A 9,517-nucleotide genomic window follows, 5' to 3' on the forward strand; every position below is an offset into this window, starting at 1 on the left:
CCTTATTGCTTCAGCCATAAATACTTATTTTCTTAGTCAAGAATGTTGAGGGACACAAGGACAAAGTGGCAATAGAAAAGTATGAGAGACAACTTTGGAAAAACCATCTTTGGTAGGCTTATAGATCTTATGGGAATTTAGGCGCACAGTTGCTTGTAGGATCCTGGATGGTTGCCTACAATCTGTGCAGTAGACTGTGAGGAATTTCAAGTGCAAAATTAACGCTCTCCATCCCACCCGCATGCCCGTATGGCCACAACAGATCCATACAACCGACAAGATATTTTTATAGATTTTCTCAGTGGGAAAGTACATTGATCATTTGGGGGCTTATTGAGGAGAATTGTCAAGCAGTCAATTGATGCTTCCACATTGGTAAGCTGACCTCATTCTTAGCTTGGTTTGAATAACTTGACAGCACAGAATGTCAACAGTTCATAATCTGATGGATCACTTTAGACAGGCAGGAAACTAAATTACCCTTCAGATGAGATGATAAGGTTGAAATATGTAAAGAGAAGCAGTTTTCTCCTTAGAAAAGGCTCATTATAACATTTGAATCACAATACAGTACACTCCTAGAGCAGGAAGATTAATGACAGATAATCTACTTGAGTAAAATTACCCCCTGAGTAATATGAAAGAATTGTGGCAATTTTACGGATGTGGTAACTCAAAATTCTCCTGCCATGCGCTATCAGTATGGGCACAGTTGCAGTTTTGGAACTGATAACTTATCTGGTGCCTGGGGAAAATGACATTTCACAAAAGTAAACATATAATCCAAGCCAACAACCAATTCAAGATTAATGTGCCATTTGTGAGCAGGCTTCCCAGGCTATAAAACCAGAAAGCTTTTTATATGTTTTCTGTAAGGTGGGAGCATTTTCACACTGTATTGCTGCTTTATACTACAGATTATTATGAACGCCTTCTCTTGTGATATGGAAAGATGAATTAGGCCAGCTTTGAAAAATATTTTTCTATCTATCTTGAGAAAATTATGTTTTCAGGGCTGGTGTTGCCCAATCTAAGTTTTACAGGTGAGTAAATTCACTTGTGAGGGAGGAATTCAACATACTCTCTTGAGGCTAGAGGCTGCAATACCACACTTGTATGCAGCTGGGGAGAAGAAAAAGGAGGCTCAGTGGGGTCCTCGGTCCCCACCTGTCTGTGTGACCTCTGCCAGAGAAGTTGCCTATCCTCCACATGGGGGCCACCCCAAGCTTCATCCTTGTCACCTCCAAAGTCTTATTCTTTTATACTTTATCTGCCCCCATCAACTTTCGTTTCCTCTTCTACCTCTGCATTGGACATTAATCTGGATTAAAAATTAATTTCATGCAACACCATGAGATTTTGTGTTGCTAATTTATTCCTCTCTCTATGACATTTGTGCACTTTTAGAGAGGAGAAGAAAATCACCTTCCATATAAAAAGGAACCTCTGGCAATGGAGAAGGAAGTTTGGTGAAGCTTGTTCCTGTGTCTTATTTCAGTAATTCACCTAAGTTGGGGCAAATAAAGCATTGAACTTCTACTGTGGTCTCTAAAGTTTGAACTATCTCTTTGATAGGGGAAGAGAAAAGGGGTCAGGGAATCTTTCAGTTCTAAAATCCATGGCAAAATTATATTATTCTTATTATTTTTTTAATTTTATTATTATACTGTAAGTTTTAGGGTACATGTGCACAACGTGCAGGTTACGTATGTATACATGTGCCATGTTGGTGTGCTGCACCCATTAACTTGACATTTATATTAGGTATATCTCCTAATGCTCTCCCTCCCCCCTCCCCCCACCCCACAACAGTCCCCGGTGTGTGATGTTCCCCTTCCTGTGTCCATGTGTTCTCATTGTTCAATTCCCATCTATGAGTGAGAACATGCAGTGCTTGGTTTTTTGTCCTTGCAATAGTTTGCTGAGAATGATGGTTTCCAGTTTCATCCAAATCCCTACAAAGGACATGAACTCATCATTTTTTATGGCTGCATAGTATTCCATGGTGTATATGTGCCACATTTTCTTAATCCAGTCTATCATTGTTGGACATTTGGGTTGGTTCCAAGTCTTTGCTATTGTGCGTAGTGCCACAATAAACATACGTGTGCATGTGTCTTTATAGCAGCATGTTTTATAATCCTTTGGGTATATACCCAGTAATGGGATGGCTGGGTCAAATGGTATTTCTAGTTCTAGATCCCTGAGGAATCGCCACACTGACTTCCACAATGGTTGAACTAGTTTACAGTCCCACCAACTGTGTAAAAGTGTTCCCATTTCTCCACATCCTCTCCAGCACCTGTTGTTTCCTGACTTTTGAATGATTGCCATTCTAACTGGTGTGAGATGGTATCTCATTGTGGTTTTGATTTGCATTTCTCTGATGGCCAGTGATCGTGAGCATTTTTTCATGTGGTTTTTGGCTGCATAAATGTCTTCTTTTGAGAAGTGTCTGTTCATATCCTTTGCCCACTTTTTGATGGGATTGTTTGTATTGTTCTTGTAAATTTGTTTGAGTTCATTGTAGATTCTGGATATTAGTCCTTTGTCAGATGAGTAGGTTGCAAAAATTTTCTCCCATTCTGTAGTTTGCCTGTTCACCCTGATGGTAGTTTCTTTTGCTGTGCAGAAGCTATTTAATTTGATTAGGTCCCATTTGTCAATTTTGTCTTTTGTTGCCATTGCTTTTGGTGTTTTAGACATGAAGTCCTTGCCCATGCCTATGCCCTGAATGATATTGCCTAGGTTTTCTTCTAGGGTTTTTATGGTTCTAGGTCTAACATGCAAGTCTTTAATCCATCTTGAATTAATTTTTGTATAAGGTGTAAGAAAGAGATCCAGTTTCAGCTTTCTACCTATGGCTAGCCAGTTTTCCCAGCACCATTTATTAAATAGGGAATCCTTTCCCCATTTCTTGTTTTTGTCAGGTTTGTCAAAGATCAGATGGTTGTAGATATGCAGCATTATTTCTGAGGGCTCTGTTCTGTCCCATTGGTCTATATCTTTGTTTTGGTACCAGTACAATGCTGTTTTGGTTACTGTAGCCTTGTAGTATAGTTTGAAGTCAGGTAGTGTGATGCCTCCAGCTTTGTTCTTTTGGCTTAGGATTGACTTGGGAATGCGGGCTCTTTTTTGGTTCCATATGAACTTTAAAGTAGTTTTTTCCAATTCTGCGAAGAAAGTCATTGGTAGCTTGATGGGGATGGCATTGAATCTATAAATTACCTTGGGCAGTATGGCCATTTTCACGATATTGATTCTTCCTATCCATGAGCATGGAATGTTCTTCCATTTGTTTGTATCCTCTTTTATTTCGTTGAGCAGTGGTTTGTAGTTCTCCTTGAAGAGGTCCTTCACATCCCTTGTAAGGTGGATTCCTAGGTATTTTATTCTCCTTGAAGCAATTGTGAATGGGAGTTCACTCATGATTTGGCTCTCTGTTTGTCTGTTATTTGTGTATAAGAATGCTTGTGATTTTTGCACACTGATTTTATATCCTGAGACTTTGCTGAAGTTGCTTATCAGCTTAAGGAGATTTTGGGCTGAGACAGTGGGGTTTTCTAGATATACAATCATGTCATCTGCAAACAGGGACAATTTGACTTCCTCTTTCCCTAATTGAATACCCTTTATTTCCTTCTCCTGCCTGATTGCCCTGGCCAGAACTTCCAACACTATGTTGAATAGGAGTGGTGAGAGAGGGCATCCCTGTCTTGTGCCAGTTTTCAAAGGTAATGCTTCCAGTTTTTGTCCATTCAGTATGATATTGGCTGTGGGTTTGTCATAGATAGCTCTTATTATTTTGAGATACATCCCATGAATACCGAATTTATTGAGAGTTTTTAGCATGAAGGGTTGTTGAATTTTGTCAAAGGCCTTTTCTGCATCTATTGAGGTAATCATGTGGTTTTTGTCTTTGGTTCTGTTTATATGCTGGATTACATTTATTGATTTTTGTATGTTGAACCAGCCTTGCATCCCAGTGATGAAGCCCACTTGATCATGGTGGATAAGCTGTCCTTAGTGACCTACAAAGAGAGTTAGACTCCCACACAATAATAATGGGAGACTTTAACACCCCACTGTCAACATTAGACAGATCAACAAGACAGAAAGTTAACAAGGATATCCAGGAATTGAACTCAGCTCTGCACCAAGCGGACCTAATAGACATCTACAGAACTCTCCACCCCAAATCAACAGAATATACATTCTTTTCAGCACCACACCACACCTATTCCAAAATTGACCACATACTTGGAAGTAAAGCACTCCTCGGCAAATGTAAAAGAACAGAAATTATAACAAACTGTCTTTCAGACCACAGTGCAATCAAACTAGAACTCAGGATTAAGAAACTCACTCAAAACTGCTCAACTACATGGAAACTGAACAATCTGCTCCTGAATGACTACTGGGGACATAACAAAATGAAGGCAGAAATAAAGATGTTCTTTGAAACCAATGAGAACAAAGACACAACATACCAGAATCTCTGGGACACATTCAAAGCAGTGTGTAGAGGGAAATTTATAGCACTAAATGCCCACAAGAGAAAGCAGGAAAGATCCAAAATTGACACCCTAACATCACAATTAAAAGAACTAGAGAAGCAACAGCAAACACATTCAAAAGCTAGCAGAAGGCAAGAAATAACTAAGATCAGAGCAGAACTGAAGGAAATAGAGACACAAAAAACCCTTCAAAAAATCAATGAATCCAGGAGCTGGTTTTTTGAAAAGATCAACAAAATAGATAGACCGCTAGCAAGACTAATAAAGAAGAAAAGAGAGAAGAATCAAATAGACGCAATAAAAAATGACAAAGGGGATATCACCACCGATCCCACAGAAATACAAACGACCATCAGAGAATACTATAAACACCTCTACGCAAATAAACTAGAAAATCTAGAAGAAATGGATAAATTCCTCGACACATACACCCTCCCAAGACTAAACCAGGAAGAAGTTGAATCTCTGAATAGACAAATAACAGGCTCTGAAATTGAGGCAATAATTAATAGCTTACCAACCAAAAAAAGTCCAGGACCAGTTGGATTCACAGCCGAATTCTACCAGAGGTACAAGGAGGAACTGGTACCATTCCTTCCGAAACTATTCCAATCAATAGAAAAAGAGGGAATCCTCCCTAACTCATTTTATGAGGCCAGCATCATCCTGATACCAAAGCCTGGCAGAGACACAACAAAAAAAGAGAATTTTAGACCAAGATCCCTGATGAACATCGATGCAAAAATCCTCAATAAAATACTGGCAAACCGAATCCAGCAACACAGCAAAATTATATTATTAAATGAAGTAAACAAATACTTAAAAGGAGAAAAGGAAAGACTGCTAAGGTTTAAGACCTATGTTTTTTAACAATTATTTAAGAATTCCTCAAAACTCTCCACTTATAGCATAGGATGATTGATGCTCTGTGTGAATATTTGTGTGCCTGTGTGTGTTTGTTTGTGTGTGTTTGAGTGATAATTGAAACATGTTATTTTCTTGGAATCTCATGTTTCAGTTTAAAAATGTATGCAAATTATACACTATACTATAGAATATATCTTTCTTTTCATAGAAAATAATACCTCAAGTAAAATTAGCTTTCCATGTTTATGTTTTGGTAGCGCCTGAACCCCAGATTAAGAATCACTGCCTTTCCTTACTGAAGAGGGTGTGTGGAAGAGGTGGCCAGCTCTCTGCCAAGATTCATGCCCAGACAGAGCAGAGTAATTATTAGGATGGGACTGATAGCCATTTCTCACCAATAAGTCTCACATCTAACCCTTCTACCAGCTTTACATATGGACATGCAACTTGTTTTTGCCAGTGAAATATGAGCAGGAAAGATATTTGCAAAGATATCCACAAGTTTCTAGACCATTGTTGCTAAGACGCAGGTGTGCCTTTTCCACCTTCCCTTTCCCCTTCCGTAATGTGCTTGAAACATTGTGCTGAAGATGGTAGAGCTGTAAAATGATATGAGCCAATGCTCATGAATCACACGAATGGAAGGTGCCCACCCAGTGCTAGCCCTGGACTGTTGCATGAAGAAGAAATAATAGACTTATACTGTGTCATCTGTTACAGCAACTTAAGTTACCTTAAATAACAAAGGATGTGCATAGAATTTAGAATCCACGAGTTGTAAAAGTTTCTAGATTAAAGTAGGTCCCTGTGTCAATCAATTTGGGGGATAGCCACCAGCCAGAGAATGAGGGGAAGACAGTGGGGAATCCTTCCTTCTGACCATTTCTCCCAAAGTATGTGGGGTGAAGTGAGTAGAAACCTCTGTTTAAATGAGGTAGAGTGTGTAACAACCCCTAGAACAGTATCTGGCATACAAGAAATTATCATGAATATTTGTTGAATGTTAGTCTACAGTGAATTTGTATAATTTATTTCTCTTACACATATATTTTATTGCATTCAATGAGCATTCATTTAGCACCTGTTGTGTGTTGGGTGATTTGCCTCTCAGGGCTGGCTAGGAAACGTGAGTTCACCTTCAAGGTAGGGCTAGCCACTGGAGGTCCAGATAGGAGCTTCCTATGGTTCCCTGGAATTCCATTTCAGATTCCCCAAACGCCAGGACCTTGAGTGCAGACGCATTCTCCTGACTTTATTTCTTCCCCTTCTTTACCTGCTTTTTCTTTCAATTCCTCTATCTTTCCCCACTCCTCTTTTCTTCTCTCATTTTCTTCACTTTTCGTCCTCTTATTCTTCTTGTTTTTCTTTTTCTTCCCTTTCTTTCTTCCCCTCCTTCTCCTACCCCCTTTATTTTCCTCTTCTCCTTCCTTTCCTTCCAATTACCCCCATCTTTTATTCCCACTTAGTCCCTCTTCTTTCTTCACCTTTTCTTCCTCAACCTCAACTTGATTTCTGCCCTTCTAAAGCTTGAATGTCCCCTAAAGATTATGTGTTGAAAACTTCATCCCCAATGGAAATGTTGAGAAGTGAGACCTTTTTTTTTTTTCCTTTTTGAGATGGAGTCTTTTTCTTGTTGCCCAGGCTGGAGTGCAATGGCACGATCTCAGCTCACTGCAACCTCTGCCTCCCAGGTTCAAGCGATTCTCCTGCCTCAGCCTCCCAAGTAGCTGGGATTACAGACATGCACCACCACACCAGGCTAATTTTTGTATTTTTAGTAGAGACCCAGTTTCGCCATTTTGGCCAGAGCTGGTATCGAAATCTTGACCTCATGATCCGCCTACCTCGGCCTCCCAAAGTGTTGGGATTACAGGCGTGAGCCACTCCACAAGGCCAAGAGGTGAGACCTTTTAAGAGGTGATTAGGTGATGAGGGCTCTGCCCTCATGAATAAATTAATGTTATTGTCGCAGAAGTAGGTTAGTTTTGAGGGAGTGGGTTCCCAATAAAAAAATTAGTATGGCTCCCTTACCATCCCTCTCTCTTGCGGGCTTTCTCACCATGTGATGTCTTCCGCCATGTTATGACACAACCAGAAGGCCCTCACCAGATGTGGACCCTAACTCTTGGACTTCCTAGCCTCTAGAACAGTGAACCAAATAAACCTCTGTTCCAGGACTTTTCCTTAGTTCAGCTAAAGATGGGGGCCCTTGCCACAAAGCCATGAAAATTTAGGCTTACAGACAATTTGAAGGGTGAATAGAGCAGGGTTTTATTGGGTGAAAAGGGAAAAAAGGGGAAACGGGGACCCTCTGCAAAGCCAGACTCCCTGCTAGTGTGCTTTCTGCCTCGCAGTTTGAATCCCAGGTTCCACTGAAGAAGGGGAGGGGCCAGGCTCCTCCCCACTGCAAAGGGTGCGAACTTCCGTGGCTCCACCCCAGTGTGAATTCTTCCCAGTGAGCAGGTTGGTAAGAGGCTCTGCCAGGGAGCCCTTCTCACCTGGCTGTCTCACTTCTATTGTTTATAAATTACCCAGTCTGTGGCATTCTGTCACCTCAATTCCCATCAAAATGGCAAATGCAATTGCTCTTCTAAGAGGCCACAGATTTCTGTAGTGCTTCCTGAAGATTTGAAACTGTAGTTTTCTCCAAATGAGGCCGTTCTACTTCCACACTGTCCATCCTGACTCTGGACGATGTCACAAGCCCCTTATGTCATTGCTCAGCTCTCCTGCCTCCTTAAGAGATTTGGAAAAGATTAAGATGGCTAAAGACCAAGGTGATGAGGACTGGATAGGAAGATCTTAGTCATGCAAGACTACCTTATGCCCATAAAGATATTTGGGAATTTGCCTGAAGAGTAGAGAAAAATGATCAAATCTGACTCTCCATCAATTGTGTGCTGTGTGCAACATTGAGGTAAGTCAGGAAAATAATGGCCAATCCTCAAATGCTTGTTTTATATAATTTGTTCTGTGTCTCATCACTGAAGGCAAGACCACTTAGCCATTGTAAGTTGGCCTTGGGATAATCGTTTTTGAGATGCATGCTTTTTACCTTTTCAACGGGGAACATTATTTCTTACTGCTTGTATAACAATTTCAATGCAATCTTATGCTCATAAGCCTTTGCTTTTTATGTTGTCAACAACTGAAGGTAAATAAAAATAACATTTAAATAATGCATGCTAATAACATTCATAAAGGGAAGAGTGTTTATAACAAAATTGAAAAATCAATGCCATCAAGCTCTACGTATTCTGAAAACCCATACTCATAATACATTATTATTTCAAGGACTGTGACATTTGAAAGCTGTTAGGGTATCTTAAGCCCTTCCAAATGATATGATCTGAGAATATTAAATAATTATTTCTTTTGATTTTTCTCCCCAACTATTCCAGGAAAAATGAGAAAGATAATTATGCAGATGAGTCTGGGCAACTGGCTAGAGGATCATAAATCACTGAGGGTTGTCCAAACACCCATATTTTCTGTTAGATGCATCTCCTTAAAAAGTGGAAAATTGATCTTTAAGTTCCCTGAAGAAAAGTTCAGAGTATATTTTAGCTCTCAGAGCTCCAGATTTATAACACAAGCTAAGCCCAGAATTAGGGGAGAGCGTTTTTTTTTTTTTTTCCATTCTTCAGAACAAAGATGAGAGATAGTTTCAGGGTATTGGTGACTGCATTGTACAAATAATTTTTAAAGACCAGGTCTATAAAGGTGATGAATTAGAGAAAATTAAAGAGAAATTCAGCACTTTCATTTTTCTGAGTCCTCACTTTCTGAGATCAAATTGTTCAAATTTTCCTTATACTTTACATAGGCAGATAGCCATCATCTTGTTGGGGCAAAATAAACTTTTGGATTTCTTTAGTTTATTTCTTAACTTATAGTTCTACATGAGTTGAGTGATAAGAACCATTTATATAAGAACCATTTATACAATCCAGCCCCACGTGGAGGTCAAAGCTGCTGGACTGCGACTATAGAATCTTGCCTTCTATTCAAATCTGCTAAACACAACGAGAAAACAAGGGAACAAGAACTGAGTAACTCATGAAAAAGACATACAAATTCTGAGAAATAAATATGAATCTAGCACGCCAGCTGGTGAGAAGTGAAGAAAAAAA

This window comes from Homo sapiens, chromosome 10 (genome assembly GCF_000001405.40).
Source record: "Homo sapiens chromosome 10, GRCh38.p14 Primary Assembly".
Lineage (NCBI taxonomy): Eukaryota > Metazoa > Chordata > Mammalia > Primates > Hominidae > Homo > Homo sapiens.